The sequence below is a fragment of the Homo sapiens genome, chromosome 2 (assembly GCF_000001405.40).
Source record: "Homo sapiens chromosome 2, GRCh38.p14 Primary Assembly".
In the NCBI taxonomy this organism is placed as follows: domain Eukaryota; kingdom Metazoa; phylum Chordata; class Mammalia; order Primates; family Hominidae; genus Homo; species Homo sapiens.
Window position 1 is genome coordinate 63,432,220 of NC_000002.12, and position 17,837 is coordinate 63,450,056.

The 17,837-nt window shown below is 35.6% G+C and overlaps 1 protein-coding gene across 24 annotated transcripts in view, besides 1 other annotated feature; it reads right to left on the bottom strand.

Moving 5' to 3' along the window:
- Positions 1–17,837, bottom strand: part of WDPCP (WD repeat containing planar cell polarity effector) — a 721,268-nt gene that overhangs the window by 312,661 nt on the left and 390,770 nt on the right. For 21 of the 24 annotated variants that reach the window (NR_148705.2, NR_148704.2, XR_007076380.1 and 18 more), the window contains 3 exons: positions 7,538–7,652; positions 5,202–5,335; positions 1,526–1,717 (listed from right to left, as the gene is read on the bottom strand). Coding sequence is in view for 19 of the 24 variants with exons in the window: in XM_047444629.1 (XP_047300585.1) it covers positions 1,526–1,717; positions 5,202–5,335; positions 7,538–7,652 (441 nt within the window). In the remaining 5 variants the exon portion in view is untranslated. Of the gene's footprint in view, positions 1–1,525; positions 1,718–5,201; positions 5,336–5,642; positions 5,789–7,537; positions 7,653–17,837 lie in introns of those variants that run through there. The other 3 variants (NR_122106.2, XM_047444633.1, NM_001042692.3) reach the window with 1 other exon arrangement.
- Positions 12,448–12,557: an enhancer, noted in NCBI's record as "active region_15876". NCBI's record gives its function as "activates an Ori minimal core promoter by ATAC-STARR-seq in GM12878 lymphoblastoid cells {active_cell/tissue: GM12878}" and the evidence as "EXISTENCE:reporter gene assay evidence [ECO:0000049][PMID:35858748]".

The following is a 17,837-nucleotide window of genomic DNA, read 5'->3' on the forward strand; positions in this document are numbered from 1 at the left end:
TTAAAAAGTAAAATTGTGTGCCAAGCTCATATTTAAGCACATTGGGAAGCCTCTTCAATCTTCCCTACTTAACATCTCTCTAAGTAGAATCGATCACCACTTTCTGTTGGGTCCCACTATAGCTTACACATACTCTACCCACAGCACCATTAACACTTTAATGCACTTACACATTTTCATATTTGTCTCTTATTGGCAGACACTAAGATCCTTGAAGGCAGGGACAGTTTCTTATTCATATCCCCTGGTATGAAATACAGTGTTTTTCATACCAGGGGATATGTAGTTGCTAAATGACATGGCTATTTCAAGTAGAAATACCATTAATGTGCACATGCAGAGGTAGGAAATAATGAGTCAGCAAGTAAATTCATTTGACTAAGACATGGTTTATGTAAGGAAACAACACTGGAAAGGCAGGCCAAGGGCAATCAGGGTGGGTTTTTTAGTGCTGAGGCTGAGTTTGGTTTTAGCATCTACAGAAGACTTTTAAGCAGGCAATGTCTAAATCAGATCTGTGCTTCAGGATCCATAGAAGCACTTTTTAGACCTGTTAGAGACCTCGAGGTGACCTAACTGAATTAAATCAATCGTTTTAAAAATAAGAAAACTAAAGTCAGATAGGGTAGGTGATCTACTCAAAGGCACAGAACACAGAATTAGCTAGAAGCAGGCAGAAGCTTAGAGTATTCATCTTATCTCGAATACTAATTCTGGGAAATACTCCTTAAAGTCTAAAAGATAACTGATTTAGAGGCAAATATAGGAACATACTATTTTACCTACATAAGAAAGTGGGGGAGAGGGAGCTTTTTTTACAGCTATAATACAACAAAACAGAGAATTCTGTAACCAAAGTACTAGTACAAACTGAAAATACACATAGGTTCACATATATGAATGGATGATCAAACCATTATCATGAATTGATAGAGGATACTGTCCTCACCTCATAATCTATAGCTCTCCTTAAATATCCTTGCGCCAAATGCGGTCTGGCACGACAGGGCCTTACACAATATAGGCATTTAACTAATGTTTGTTAATTGACTGAAGTCTGAAGAGAGTAATTGGTAATAAAAGCTTTCACAGGCATGATATCATGAGTAAACAGTAATAATAGAACTAATAATGATAATAACAAGAGTCATAACAGTGAACAGTGATTCAGGGCTTACTATACATTGATATTGCTCTAAATGCATGTATTAACTCATTTATCATCATGAACTGTATTTTTCAAATAATGAAACTATAGCACATACAAGTTAGTAACTTGGTCAAGGACAGGAAGCTACATAGTGGCAGAGCTAGCATTTGAACCTGGAAGCCTGGACTCTTAATTACTACACTATTCTAGCCAGCCCTGGAATTGTCTGGGTATCTTCTAGATATGATACTTTTTGAATATTTGAAAAACATAAATTATAGGTAAAAAATATTCACATTTATTTCAGAATAGAAAATCTAATAATTCTATTTTATTTACACTTTATTAAAATGTACATATTTGTTTTAGATTTACCTCTAGTCTTCCTTGAGCATAACCCAGGAGGAGTAGATTGGCTCTGTCCTTCTCAGAAGAAATGGGGGCCCAAGGCCAAGCATCATCGTTGACCAGTGGCCACCAGCAAACAACTCTATCATGAACACAGTTGATAGCTAGATGTCGCTCTGTTGTCTTGTTTATTGGGCCGGGTATTTCATAATAGAAAATCTAACAATTTTAAAAAAGCATACATGAAACATTTCTTTTAAAAGATGCAAAATCCTCAAGTATTACAAAAATTAAAGCATCTGGAAATGTAGTTACATGCAAGTAAATATGCATGTTAAACATGTGCGTAAGAAGGTGTCAGAATTTACCAAATTCTTCTGACACATATATAAAAAAGACATATGTTCAAAATTCTCCCCATTTTTAGCAAAGGAAGGAAAAGGAGAAATGTGAGCTAGGAAGAAATTGAATGTAGCAATTCCAATCAATACCAAAATGTACAGTCATGGTTGCCTGACAGCATCGACCTACACATATGATTTAGGACCAGCTGTATAAAATGACAAGTTCAGTACTGCTGACCAAGAGAGTCTCACTACTGTTTAAGACATAACGTGTTAACAATGACTGACAACAAAAAAAGGAAAAACAACTTGAGGCAAATATCTCTTTAAAGAATATATGCGACGTATACACATATATTCTGCATAAAAGGGATAAGCCACAGCATCATGCATAAAAGTTTATGCAGCTTCTGAGAATTATGCTTCTCTTTCTTAGGCAGGATTTGTAGAATTTATTATTCAAACTATGTTATTTTGGAACATGGTTATTTGAAAACATAAGCACGGCACCATCTGTGTGACACATGCCAAGGAAATATAGATTGCACCGTATTTCTGCTTAAGGAATTAATGGAAGGTTGATAGCTTGGAAGAAAAAAAAAACTATCTTGCCATTGCTGGTCAGCAATAATCGAACCACTTTCTGGGGATTAAGCGCATGGCTAAGCCTACTGGACCAGACACTAGCAAAGGGCAGGGGGTCTTCTTATCAGAGAAATGCTTCTGGAGCCAGTCTCACTACATGACAGATTGCTTTCATATTCCTGTCTGCAAGGCAACAAAGGATGGCAGTAATGCGATAATGCCAGAGTGCAACGGGTGTTAAGAACCCGTTGCATTTATGTATTGTATTTAGTAAATAATCAGGCTCATCCAAATTGTGATCTCACCACTCAACCAAGGCCATTAAAACCAAGGTTAATGCTTTAATAATCCTCTGCTATTTTTTTTCAATATGGTCAAAAGGAACCCTTTTCTATTTGCATGGCCATAATATTATTGACCTCTTCATCCTCTGAATGCACATCAAAAGGAACTGAAATCAAAGTAATTACCAGTGTTGTTCTCTCATGGTAAACATTTAACTCCTCACAGTGTCCCTTCACTGTTAAATAAATTGAATTGGATTTTTTTCAGATGTAGACAGGAAAACTTGTTAAAGGTCAATAGTTTAAGGATGTTTACTCTGCAATTTTCTTTGCCAAAATTATGTCAATCTGAAAGAATTAAACTATGGTACAGCTGTAAAGAAAAGCAAAAGTACAATACTCTATACCACTTCCTTGTTTTAAAATCCAAATGGGCAATGACAGACAACACAGATGTACTTTATGCTATTAAGTGTAATTTCTTATATTTAAGCTCTCAATATCATTAAGTCTTCTTATTTGAGAGAAATACCACGATGAAATTGCTAAGTACTTAAAAATACACATACATTATTTCAATGTCTGATTTGCTGCATAAGTGTGTTACCTATGAATTTCTAGATGAGGAAATTGAGTCACAATGAGTGACTGACATTTTCAGTTGTCACATAATGCAAATCACTTACGTTATGAAATGTTAGGAAATTTCATGTTTCCTATGAGTTTAATATTATCAGTATTCTGTCATGATGACCAAGAGGGAATGTAAAATAAACAAATTTCTTAAAATATCCTTCCAATGGACAAATAGCAGATTTGACTAAGTATTAAAAATATACATTTTAAATATTAAACCAGGAAATGAAATTAATGAGTTTTCCGAAGGGAAACAGATTACTTCTCTAATGTATAGGAATGACATGGAGTGCCAATGTTCCTATTTTCCTAAATCCAAAGGCATATTCGAATAAGCAAGTAAGTAATTCCCTTACTTAAGGTTTAAGGACCCAAACGCTAGATGTCTTTTCCTCATCTTTTCATAAGAAAAGATGACATCTTGACAGTTTCTCTCTGTTCTCAGGTAGCTACTACTCTTCAGTTGAGAAGATTTTATCAAGCTATCACACCTAAGATAAAGAAACTACTCATCCAGAATTTTATATATACTTACTTTAAATGGTTTGAGTTAATGCACACTGGTGCATTTTAAAGACCGATCAATTTTAGTAAATAAACAGTATTTCAAGTAAATCTGAAGTTAGCCATTCTAGAACTAACATCCCTTTAAGAATGCTAATACCATTTTTGTTTTGGCTAACCAAATATAATAAGTAGCACTAATTTCCAGTTTTAAAAAATCTATATTAAGGTTTTATAGAAGTTTCACAAAGCTGGCAAACGAAACTAGATGGTAGTTTATCACCACAATGAAAAACTCATTTATTTTATTCCACATTAAAAATCTTTTTTTAAGAATAAATGTTCCTACTAAATAAAACTAAATCCTCCCATGCTACCACCACCTCATTCATAAGTAATAATCCCAAAGGGCAAAAGGTTAGGTTAAATACTACTTTGCCAAAAACACACACACATTTCAAGCTACAGAGCTAGCTTCTCAAACTCTTTGCTCTTGCTACAGATGCTCTAGGTATGGCATAAGTGTGCATCTTTTTTAAGGAAGCTGTATATCAGCTCTGTTCCCAGTGAACAGTGAACTGTCTCAAATCCACATCATAGAGGTTGGATCAATCTTGCAAACACAAGTCACTGTTGAAAAGAGGCCTTGAACTGAAACAGCCTGGAAAATGTATTACTCATCCTAGCAGAGAATATGCCTTCCCAGCAGTTAAAATGTAATGTGGCAAAACTCAAATTAAACACATCACTTAAAATAAAAATTCTGCCTTAATAGATGTAAAGCTCCTGATACAGGAAGGAAACAAATTACCTGGAATTAGTGAAGGGTGAGATACTAACACATGAAGATTTCTTTTTGCATTTTGTCCAGTTATAGCTGGAGGGGGAGGGTTCTTCCCCCTCCTTGTTTATTACACTTTTCTATTAACCTTTCAAAGTGCCTTCATCTTTCTTTTCTTGTGAAGTGGAAAGTATCCTACCCTAGAAAGCTATCCTACCCTAGAAAGATGATATGGGGTCTTAGGGGAAAATGAGAATGGTATATATACTACCACTGGCACGAAAACCATTTTCAAAAGTGTAACTTGCCTCTATTATCTGTCTTTGATGTCTATAAATACTATATAAATTGCTCCAAACGTGCCATTGTTAGACAACCCCCCATAGTGAGAGTATAAAAGAAAACTTAGGATGGCCACTGTTTACAGTTAATTAAGCTTAATCCTGTAATATTTCCAGTTTTTCTGAAATCCAGAAATGTTGAAGAATAATGAGCAGAATACCAACTTATGTGATACTCTCATATACCTTAATAATTAATAATATGACTATATAAATCAAAATCTCTACCTTATAATCCAAGGCTGAGAGTTTTTCCAGTCTTTTGTTTACATCAGAAGACTCCATCTTCTTGGTAAACTGAATAAAACATAGTTTGTTTTGTGCCAAAAATGATAAGATGATAAAACTGTCTGTGAGAAGAGCTAAAAAACATAATTAGATATTACCAAGTTAGAATAAAATAATGAATAGATTTTTCCACTGATATGTTACAAAAAGCTATTTTCAAACATACATATTAACTGAAATCACTAAAGTCTCTTGAATATCATTATAGCATTTTATAAAAATATTAAAGATATTAGGAATAAACAATAATTGTCAATCTAATCATATGTGATTTTTTTTCCTGTGACTATTTCAATATACACTGATATTTGGGGACCACCAATGGATGAGATGTATTTAGAAACAGGGCTATAAAGGTATTTTTAAAAAACTATTTCGCACCTGAATGTAGAGACGAAAACATTCCATTTTATTTGTGCTAAGAGTTTAATCCTATGTTTACATGATAGAAACCATCCGAGGATAAAGTGGATTTATTAGGGGATACTGATCAGTGTTCTCTACCAGTCTATTTATTTAAAAAATTTTCATCAGTGAATCTTCTTTTAGGGGTATACAAGCTGGATGAAATAAAGCATATTATGACCAATATGTACATTACATAAATTAATATCTAATAATGAAAATTAGCACAATATTTCTACAGCTTTGTCACCAAAGCACACAAGTAGGTAAATAACTAATATTTGTGGATTATATAAAGGGCTATTAATGTTACATAAAATTATTGATAAAAACATGTTACAGGAATTTGAGAAATGTTTTGCATTGTTCCTAGCATAAAGAAATTATTAAATGTTTTATACATTTTCCTTTACTTTCACACCCCTGACCATACAAACAGTGACCAACAGTGGATCTACACAATTACAAGAGAATCTGGAGAACTGCCAAGAAATCACATTGTTACCATGTTCCCATGAGAGTGTATTATTTTGGGTACAAATAAAAGAAATACATGAAAAAGGATAACTCAGAGACACGAATTGTGCTGAAAGTTTCCTTTTAATTCTCATTGAGGAGCATCAATATAACAAAATCATCACAGCCAGTATTTTATTTGCAGTACCAATGAAGGGGTCAATTATTAGACATATGAAAATGGAACCTCTTCTACAGGGAAGCTTCCTCAGCACCTTACTCCTGTAAGGAAGGGAAAATGGCATGCTTACAATCCTACCCCCAGCTTATTACTATCAGTAATGTTGCTAATTATGGCCATCCTGCAGAGTTCTTTTCTTCAAGATGATGTGATTGTGTCTGATTTATTCAGAGGTAGCTAGTGAGAGAACACAGCAGACGGAAGATTTCTTTATTCTCACCTCTGTCCTTTCCACTAGGACATACTTCCTTTGATTACTAAATTTAAGATACTGACCATTTTCAATCTTTCATGATAATACAATGTTTCTCAACCTTTTTACCTTGAATAAAAGAATATAATCTTTAAAAATTCAGGAGTCAGAACAGTATAGTGAAAGGAAAATGGGCTTCACAGCCCGAACCTGTATTCAAATCTTAGCTCAGTCACTTTCTAGCTATATGACTCTGGACATGTTCCTTAGTAGCTCAGCTTCGTTTCCTTATGTGTAAAAATGGAAATAACTATACCTTATACAATTGTTTTCTTGTATTAAATAGGTAGGTTAGGAACCCAGCATATAGAGCCTTTTGGTTCAATAAATGTCAGTATCCTTCCTATTCAATAACTGGCTTAATATCTTTTTCTTATGTGCTTTGTACCAATTACAGACTGATTGAGATGTCACTTAATAGGACCTGACTGTCCAGTATATTAGGCATTGGTCTTTACTATTTAGAAAATATAGCCCAAAATCTCTCTAAGACTTTAGGAACAAAGAATCTTCCTATGAGAGCCAAAGCATCAATTGTGTACTGGTGGTTGTGTTGATATATTTGTGTTATTTATTCAAAATTCATTTGGAAATAAAATATATATTTGAAGTGCCAGTTATAGAGAAATAATTTTGAAAGAATGAAAACAAAACCCTATTTTGAAAAAATGTTCACTTCTTTTAAGGAAAAAGTAAAAAACAACTCAGAATATAAGCTTAACAGTTGACAAGAAAAAAACTTTGATATTAAATATTAGTCGAAACTTGTATTGGTCCCAGGGGGTGTAAGTACGCTATTACAAGCAATTACTTGTTGTGTTTGCAAGTCCCCAGTGGTAATAATTAGTCTACCTGTTGACACACTATTTCTCCTGCCCCACTGTTAATGTAGGCAATTGATTTGCACATGGGGGTAATTACCATCACTGATGGTGTCTGAGATGAGCTTCCCCACCAGGCTTCTGTCAATCACCACTTTCTCCAGCTGCGGCCCAGAAAGGCTTAGAGACACCAGCACACCTGAACCAAAAAGGAGCTAAAACCAGGTAAGTGGGGGAGAGAGGGAGGAAGACATGCTGTGATTTAGAATCTTTAAAAAACCTCTCTCCAAATATACAACTTATACAGATATTTTACACATGCATCTACACTACAAAATTATAAAGATTTTCTTCACTGAAAAACAATTACTGACATTGTGAGTAAAAAGAGAAAGGTGGCTAAAGGATGCAACACAATAAATGCATTGATTAAAGCTACATGCAGAAACCTAATTTAGGCCATGTTTATTAGAAATCTAATCTTCTAAATACTTAGAAAGCACATATGCAGACATAACTGCTTTGTTTTGGATTCAGAAAATGTAATGTATTCTATTATTTTGAAAAATTACTATTATAAACTAAAACATTTCTTGAGGTTTGAATAGTCATTGCTACACATTAAATATAGAAGAGATGCCACTATTACAATATAAACAGCTAATGTTATGCATTTATTTGGAAGTTAAACACTATTTACTTCTAAAAATAAAGATCTTGTCAGTCTAAAATGTTAAAATACATGTAAATCAAGGCAATTAAGTAAAATGTTAAATTTTTAAAATCATAAACAACACATATCAGAAACAATTTCACAAGGAGAAATAAAGGAATATAGTAGAGCATCCAGGCTTTATCAATGTCAGTGTTCACAAAACCACTCAACAAAAGATGATTGGATATCACCATTATAATTTTATACTGCTCCTTTCCATTTGTGGCAGCATAATTCATTCATCTCCAAATGTTTAAAACTTCTGAAAGGACTATGCATATGCGTATGCTTGTTATCTATGAGATTATGAAATATCAACATTGGAAGAAATTGTTTCACCTTCAAGGCAACAGACTCAAAGCTGATGAATCATGGAATAACATATGGTATAAGAAGAAAAAAAACCAATTGTCAGTAAACTAATCACAAACATGCTAGCCAAATTCAAAGACAACTTTGATTTTAAACAAAACAGGGGAATCCCCCACCCACCTAGGCATCATGTCCCAGCTAGAGAGGATGATTCTGTGTTGAGACATATTTGGACATGTGTGAAAGATAAGCAGCATGAGGGACCAGGGTAATATAAAGACAGACCACCATTCCTCACTGCCTAACAGATTCCAGGCACATGATTCAGAAAAGAAACTGAAGAGTTGCTTTGCATTTACTGTTAGAACTCTTGTCCTAGTCACCAGAAAGCTTACCTTTATTTGACTTAACAGATTATTCCATTTTGCGTTAATACCTCTACAGGGGCAGAGAGTTGGGGGGAGGGTACTTAATCATCTTTATGGGTTTTGGAGACTACTAAGAGAAGGCACATTTGTTTCAAGAAATTTAAAATGCTTCACAACTTAATCTCTACTGAATTACACCCAGCCCTACCACATACCTTAATGGCAAATGGTGATATTTCCCTTTTGAAGAATCCCCCCATAGCAACACAGCAGGTGGTCTTAACTCCCCAAATTCCTTCTCAGACGGGCAATTTTAGGGACATCTTTTATATCTACTTCTCCCCTTCCTCCTTTATTCAAAACATCTCTAAAATCTACCCTTTTCTATTTATTTTTATCTACTAAAGCTTTACACCTATACTCTTAAGCACTTCTTTTCCTAATTACTCACTGACTACCAGCTCCTTATGGATGTTGGCTTGGCCACATTTATCTTTGTAGTGCCAGGAATACAGTAGGTGCTCAACAAATGTTTGGAGAAAGAATCACAACTAACTCAATGGAACACCAGATAATTTGCAGTTACAAAAAAAAAAAAACTTGGTCTAATTTTCCATTTTCATATGACATGGATGTTCCTTCTGCAGCATCCCTTCAAGCATCTAGCCCATGCTTGAATATTGCCAGTGATCAGGAGCTCACTGCTTCACAGGAAAACTATTCTACCATGGGTCAGTTGTAATCAATTTAAAGATCCTTCATTCATTTTTTTAATTCACCAAAAACTGAATATTCATTATATGCCAAGCACTAAATTAAATTTAAGGGCTCAAAAAGAAATCAAATATAATTCTTAAAGTAGGTTAAATAAAGTAGGTTAATAGAAAGAGGTCGAGATCAAAGCAAATAACTAATAAAGTGCTGTTACCAGTTTACCAGACCTATTATAGAAGTACATACTGGGTAGACTCAGAGTCTGACTGAGAAGGAGGTGGTGACTCTTGAGATTGAGGCTGAGGATACAACTGACTCCCTACAACTTCAACAGTCACCCCAATTATTCTTCAGTAGCACCCACCTCAAATATTCAAGGATAATAACACAGTGGTTAAGAGCACAGACTCTGAAATCAGAATAAAATCAATATTGGCTACTTGTTACTAGCTGTGTGACACTGACAGTGTAATTTAACCTCTCTGTCCCTTCATTTCCTCACCTGAAAATAAACATGATAGTATCTACTTCATAGGATGAGGATTAAATAACTTTTTACAAAAAACATTTAGAATAATGCCTGGCACACAGTGTTTGCAATTATTATTATTATTCAACCATTAATTGTAGGATGCTGTCCATAGTCTCCAAATCACTGCTCCTGCCTCCAGGCATAGATTAGTTATCTAACCAATGTATGCATGCTCTTGCCTCCATGACGTTCATCCCTTTGAATCCTATATCAAATAACAAATATCCTCACTACGTTGTTAACCAACTCTGAGCACATTTGTCTTTTTAAAAACCTTGTAACCCAGGTTGGACTCAATGTTAGATGTGTGACACTCAGGTGAGTTACAATTAGTAAAAAATGCAATCTTTTGTTGCCTCTCCCATTGGCTATGATTTCACAAGGATATTATCTCCAAAATATTTGCAAGTTCCTTCAGAACTCTGGAATTTAATTTTTCCAAGTGTCTAATTTCTTTTACCTTGTTTTCTGTTCTCACCACTGCTCTCATGAAATAAATCTCATATCCTAACAAAAACTGCTTTTTCTATGTATGAGCGTTTGTTATAAAATTCTTTTAAAAACCCACTTTTATGAGATGAAGAAGGAAAGTACAGCCTGTGAGAGTAAGTAAATGAGGGAACTTATGCCGGAAAAGATTCAGAGGGGTGAGTGTCATGGAGCCAAAAGCATGCATACACTGGTTAGATAACTGATCTATGCATGGAGGCAGGAGCAGTGATTTGGAGACTATGGATCCTGCCAAGTGAGGTTGGACATTCCTTCAGAATCCTTCTCAAAGAATAGGTACAGCCACTTTTTCATAAATTCACTCATTTACCCCAAAATATATATATTTAGTATATCATATGAGCCAGGCACTGTTCCAAGTGCTGAGAATACAGCAATGAACAAAACAGACAATGCCCTTGCCCTCCCTGGCCTCATGGAGCCTGCATTCAAGTGTGGACACAGATAATAAAACAAATAGTTTTAATATAATGTACAATAGCAATAAGAACTATAGAGCAAATTTAGGAGGGTGCTACTTTAAGCAAGATGGCTAATAAAGAAATAAGCCTCTCTGAGGAAATAACATTTGAATATAGACTCAAATGAAGTAAAAGAACAAGCCACATAAATATCTGGAGAAAAGGAGTTCGAGGCAGAGAGAAGAGCTAATGCAAAAACTCTGAGGTGGCAATGTGCCTAGGCTGATTGAAGAAAGCTAGGCCAGTGTGGCTGGAGGGGAGTAAGTGAAAGGGATATTCATAGAGGATGAAGTCAGAGAGGCAGTCAAGGACCAGATTAGGTTAGACCTTGTTGATGAGAAGTCACTGAGTTTTAAGCAGCACAGAACTATAATATAATTTATGTTTTAAAGCGGGGGATCAGGGCAAGAGTGAAGCAAGGAGACCATCACAAGCCTATTGCAGTGGTTGAGGTGAGAGATGATGGCTTGGGACTAGAATGGTAATGCTGAAGGAAATGATAAGTGGGCAGACTTGAGATATATTTTAAAAAGTATCTACTAGCACTTGCTGAAAAATTGAATGTGGCACATGAGAGAAAGACTCAAAGATTTTTGGCCTGAGCAACAGTTTACTGTGATTGGGAATGCTAGAAGAAAAGCAAATTTAGATTATGGAGAATCAAGAGTTTGATTCTGACACGTTAAGTTTAAAGTATTTATGGACATACCAGTGGAGAGATCTAGTACATAATCAGAAATGTGTCTGAACTTCATGGGGGACTACAGAGGTATATCTGGGAGTCATCAACAATACAAAGGTAGTATTTAAAGCCATGGTACTGGACATGCTCTCCTTTAAAAAATGAGTGGAAAGACAGAAAGAGATCTAAGGTCTGAGCTCTGGGACATTCTGACCCAAAAGATCAGTTTAGCCCTCTTATTGAACCTGAGTTTGGATACTTGAAAGATCAAGTATGTCCATCATTTCATATTTCCAAATGTCCTATGGACTAGAGGCATCCCTGACACCAGATTTTGGAATAAGAAGGTATAAATCAATTAATAAGCTAATTAATGCATTTTTATAAAACAGCCTATGGGGAAGCATAGAGTTGCCAAATACTGGTGCCAAAAATACTCCTGGATATTGTAAAGGAGACAACTAGAGTTAGAAAAATATAGTCAAGGAAAGAATATTCCAGCCCAGACAGGAAAGTGCTATTCTCACCTCTGCCTGTTTCCCCAAAGTGGTTAGTCCTTAAGACCTCCAAAATGGAAAGGGTCTATGTAAGATTTGGTAGGACAAAAAGGAAAAAGAGCACCAAGACAGTGTCCTATTCCATTGCAAGGGGTTGGAGGGAGGATTCTGGTAGCTCAGAAAATAAAAAAGAGCAGGCAAGGTGGTAAAGGGAGGCATCTCTGAAGCAGATCTGAACTGAAAAGACCCGCAGGATGAACCAACGAGAAGGCCAGTGGTATCTCCCAACACTGTCCCAATTTGAATGTTGTTTAAATGTTGTGCAGGAGATAACTGAGGCAAATAGAAACCGAAACTCTTCTTCTTCTTTGACACCCCGCCAGACAAAAAGTACCTTCCTTATTATTCCTGCTCTGACCATGTCTCTTTATGTTGCCTTTCTCATTTGCTCCTTTTCATTTTCTTCAAATAAGCTCATACTGGGAAGGTGAGCTTTCTCTTTAAGAAACTCAGAAATGATTCTCACAATCCCCAGATGGCTCTTCAAATTGGCTTCTCTTAACCCTAAAGTCTACAGTACTTAGATTGGGGATTAAATTGGAAGTGAAACGGTACTTTGAGGGAAATGAGAAAATTATATCAGATGACATCATTAATTGAAACAAAACATAAATAACATCTGAGTTTTGTTCATTCAGTAAGTTAAAAAAAAACACGTAAGTGCCTCCTACATGTCAGGAAACAAAAGTAAATATAGTTAAGAATTAAAAAAAAATTAGTTGATTTACTACAGAGAACTGACTTAAGGAGAAAAAACAAAAGAACAAGAAATAAACAAGTATTTTTCTGGATAGAGAAGTGAGGTTCCTCACTGGGGTCTCCCAGTGGGATTTCCCAAAGATTTGTACGGTGTTATTCAATATATGGAATACAACGTACCTAGAAATCTGCCTGCAAAGTCTATTTCAATTTAATAAACCTAATTTTCTCACTTATTCTCATTATAAAACAAATGATGCCATATTTCAATCCCTAATGTAACTTTAAAATCCTGCTAACTATATTTCCATAAAAGAAAAGTGATCATTCCTAGAAAGTATTTGACCACAGAAACATGGTCAAATTTGGTAGGACAAAAAAGAAAAAGAGCACCAAGACAGTGTTCTATTCCATTGCAAGGGGTTGGAGGGAGGCTTCTGGTAGCTCAGAAAATAAAAAAGAGCAGGCAAGGTGGTAAAGGGAGGCATCTCAAAATAAAACAAGGTCCGAAAGTAGATTTTGTATTTGTCAGTAGTTTTAAAGATCTAAAGAGTTAAAAGCAGTGGTGAGAAGTAAAGAGAAAGGCAAATCAGATAACACTTTTTTTTGTATATTATTTTGTAATTTACAGAAGACTTTTATATGCAACATAATGCATGTAAAATGACAGTATAACTGATACAAAATAAGTATGCAAGTTTTAAAAACAATAGTAATAAGGTTAATCTCATGCTCATACTAATTCCCAATCAGAAAGGTAAAGCAATTAATCAAAGGTCTCATAATTAGTGGGAAAGTGGAGACCAAGACAGGTCTATTAATGACAAATCCTATATACTCCTTCACCACTATTTAGGAACTAATATCCTTAACTCTCACTTCTCAGTTGACTTCCATGCAATATCCCATCTGATTTTTCTCTCTCCAGCTCTTTTCCTCACTCAAACCAGTCTCCCTCTAAACCAGGGGTCCCCAATGCCCAAGCCACTAACCAGTACCCATCTGTGGCCTGTTAGCAACCGGGCCACACAGCAGGAAGTAAGCGGTGAGTGGGCAAGCATTACCGCCTGAGCTCTACCCCCTGTCAGATCAGCTGCAGCATTACATTCTCATAGGAGGTAAACCCTATTGGGAACTGTGCATGTGTTCTCAACTGGGGATGATTTTGGCCACCAGGAGACATGACATCTGGCAACGTCTAGAGACACTGCAGCTGTCACCACCTTTATATATTAGCCATCTTCCCAGAGCCTCTCTTTAAAAGAGTGCTTTTAAATGAGTTGCTGTGGAAGCAAAGATGTTTTCCATGTCTTCATTAGGCAGATTTGGAAACTTCCCAAATTTTAATCAATCCTTTTCTCACATAAAGAAAGGGTAATGTGATAAGCTATCCTCTCTCATGTATGACAGCCTGGTCAGATATCTCAAATGGAGTGGTGGGCAGTGCACAGTCCAGATCAGCAGTCCACAGGAAACCCACCCTGTGTGTCTCTAACCATGTTCAGGGCTATCACTTTGATGACTAATGCTACTTTTCAAGATTGAAAGTGCCCCATAGCAAGTAATTGAGCTACCTTAGCTTGAAAGAAATATCTTGTTAGAACACCTTCTTGCCTTTGTTCTCATTCTCTGCTCACCAATCAGCCTTCTTATTTATACTTCAGTCTCTTGAATAACTTATCCGTGAGGTAATGCCCCAAGGAAATGAGCAATGTCTATGATGCCAAATATATCTCACATAGTAAATTAATAAATTGCCATTCCAGTTAATAAATCAGTCACATCTGAATTTGGCTATTGTTAATGTTGTTAGTACAAGAAAATAAATGGAGATAACATAAAAGATAAATAAGTTTAATTAATCAGAAATTTTTTCCCAACTGCATGATACCTTGTTGAAGGTGGGGGGAGGCATTTTTAAAAGTTACAGACCTACACAAGTAGCATCATTCTGTTTTACTAGGAAAAAAACAAGAGTAGTATGGGTACATATACGTATAAAGAAATTGTAGAAACACAAGAAAATATCAGAAAAAATAAAACCAAAGCTGTTGATAGCAGGCATCTCACAGAGATAAAATTGGAACCCAGAGAGCACAAACTTCAACTTCTTGCCTTATAAAATTTTTAAAAATTGATATTAGGGATGATTTTTTAAAACTTTTGTGTGTTATTCAGTATTTTTCTATAAAAATTTTCAAAAAAGGGAACGCTTAAAATATCTGGCCACAAATATACTTCTTATTTTATGGTTTTAAAGAGATGCTAGAAATGTGTTTCTCAAAAGTCGGAATACTGAAAATGCACTAAGAGTTGTTCCTCACTAAAAGGATCAAATAAGAAACTGAAATGAGTCCCTCGTCTCTGCTATTTAACTTATTAAAAAATTTTAAGACCATTTTGTTCTTATTACATTGCCTTGATTACTCATCTATGTCCAATTTCCATATTTACTAAAAAGATTGCCATTAATAATTGTAAAGTATGGTATATACAAATTATGGATTACTATGTATCTAGTAAAAATAGGGAGGTAGATATAGATCATTGACAGATGGTCATATATTGTTACGTAAAGAAAGTTAGAGAAAAATATGTATAGAGTGATTCCATTATTTTTAAATGTGTGTATACATACACATACACAGATGAGTGTTTGAAAAAAGATATAAGCCAAATTGCTGAACACAGTTACTACTGGAGAAGGGAATGAGTTTCGGGTAGGCATATAGTTTTTACTATATATCTATTTGTATACTATGCCATTTTATGATTACCAGAAATCATTTTATTATTTTAAATTTAAAAACATTAAAAGAGGGAATAAAGATCTCCACTAAATCTCTTTTCAGTTCATTTGGTATGAGATCGCACTTTTTAATCTCTTACCTTTAGCTAACAAACTTCAAATTCATCAGTAAATTCTGCTGATACTCTTTGTTCCATTTAGCTCAGATCTACCACTTTTAATATACCTCCTTGTCCATTCTCTTTTACTAGGACCACACTCAACCGTTGCCCTTTACAACTTCCAGTTCTCCTCCATAATCCATACTAATGTGGCATAAATGAAAAAAGAATAAATGAAAAAAGACCATTTCTCAAAGCAGAGTCCATGAAATAATAATCTTTGAATAATGTTTCAAGAAAGTAAGCTTGGCAACTTTTCATATAACAGGCCCCTCTCAAAGACTTACAACCATGCTACCTGAGTTAATTAAAAATACATCAACACACACACACACACACACACACACACACACCCTTAATATGCAATGAGATATGCTTCCTCATTTATCAGCATAGAGTATTATGGTGAGTTTAAGCACAGCAGAAATCTCTTAGAGTGAGTACTGTTAAATTGTTACCATTATGTTTTGTTTAGTTAGAAATATGAAACCCCAAAATCTTTGAGAATAAAAACGATCACTGAAAGTAAATGTGGTATATATCCTCAATGGAATACTATTCAGCCTTTAAAAAGGGAAATTCTGTCATTTGTGAGAACATGGATGAACCTGTGGGACATTATGCTAAGGGAAATAAGCTAGGCACAGAAAGACAAATACTGCATGATCTCACTTACATGTGGAATCTAAAAAAGTAAAACTCATAGCACTAGAGAGTATGATGGTAGTTACCATGCTAGGGGTAGGGGAAATGGGGAGATACTGGTCAAAAGGTACAAAGTTTTTGTTAGACAGGAGAAATACATTTTAGAGATCTATAGTACAACACAGTGGCTAAAGTTAATAATAATGTGTTGTATATTTCAAAATGGCTAAAGTATCAGATTTCAAATGTACTCACCACAAAAAAAAATGGTATGTGAGATGATGGATATGTTAACTAGCTTGATTTAATCATTCCACTATGTATGCCTATAGCAAAACATCACATTGTACCCCATAAATATATGCAATTATTATTTATCAATTAACAACTTGAATAAAAGTGAAAAAAAAATCTATCACAAAATATTTGCAGGGAGTTTTACAACTTCTCCTCCCAAATATTTGATAACCTCTCTCCTGAAACTTTCAGTCAAGTCAGTGAGGTAGTTAGTAATTAGATGGTCACACAATAAATGTCCAGCTGGAACTGCAATAAGTGTCAAGAAGTACATGAAATGCAGTTCAATATGGCTGATTAGAGACATCAGATACCCCCCCACTTTCCAGAAAGAAGGACCAAAATTATGAATAGATAATTGCACCTTGAATAGAAAATCTAGGAGAGAACTAGAGTCTAACAGAGAAGTCATGGGAAACACCTGAGGTACAGAAGGAAAAGAAAGCAAGTGGCCACCTCATCCAAGATTGACTGGGACCCTGAGGGGCTTGGTAATGCCAGGAAAGAGTAAGTCACAAAACTTCAGCGGTCCACATCCCCACTATGGACTGCTGCAATCTGAACCACAAGAGACCTCCTCTACCCACACAAACCCCGACATTAGCATGGTGTGATTTGGAGACCCTGAGAGGGCACTACACCAGACAGAAAACTTGTACTGGGTCATGGACCCTACCCCAGACAGAAAACTTGTACTGGGTCATGGACCCTACCCCTGAGACCTAAGTGGCTGCAGCTGGGCACCATTACACAGCTGTCACAGGACTGCATCCTGCCCTGAAAACCACAGCCCCCATATATCCACATCCTAACAGCTTCCACTGACATCCCAGTGTCCACTCAGAAGGCTACAGCAATACAGCACTGGTTGGTCCCAAAGGTGCCATGGGGTCTCCAGTACTTTAGCCTACAGAGAGTACTAATCCTCGGGGAAAGAAGAGTGCAGTGCACCAAAAAGGGAGCCCCCAGGACAAAGGAAAGCAAAGTGCATGCTTTCC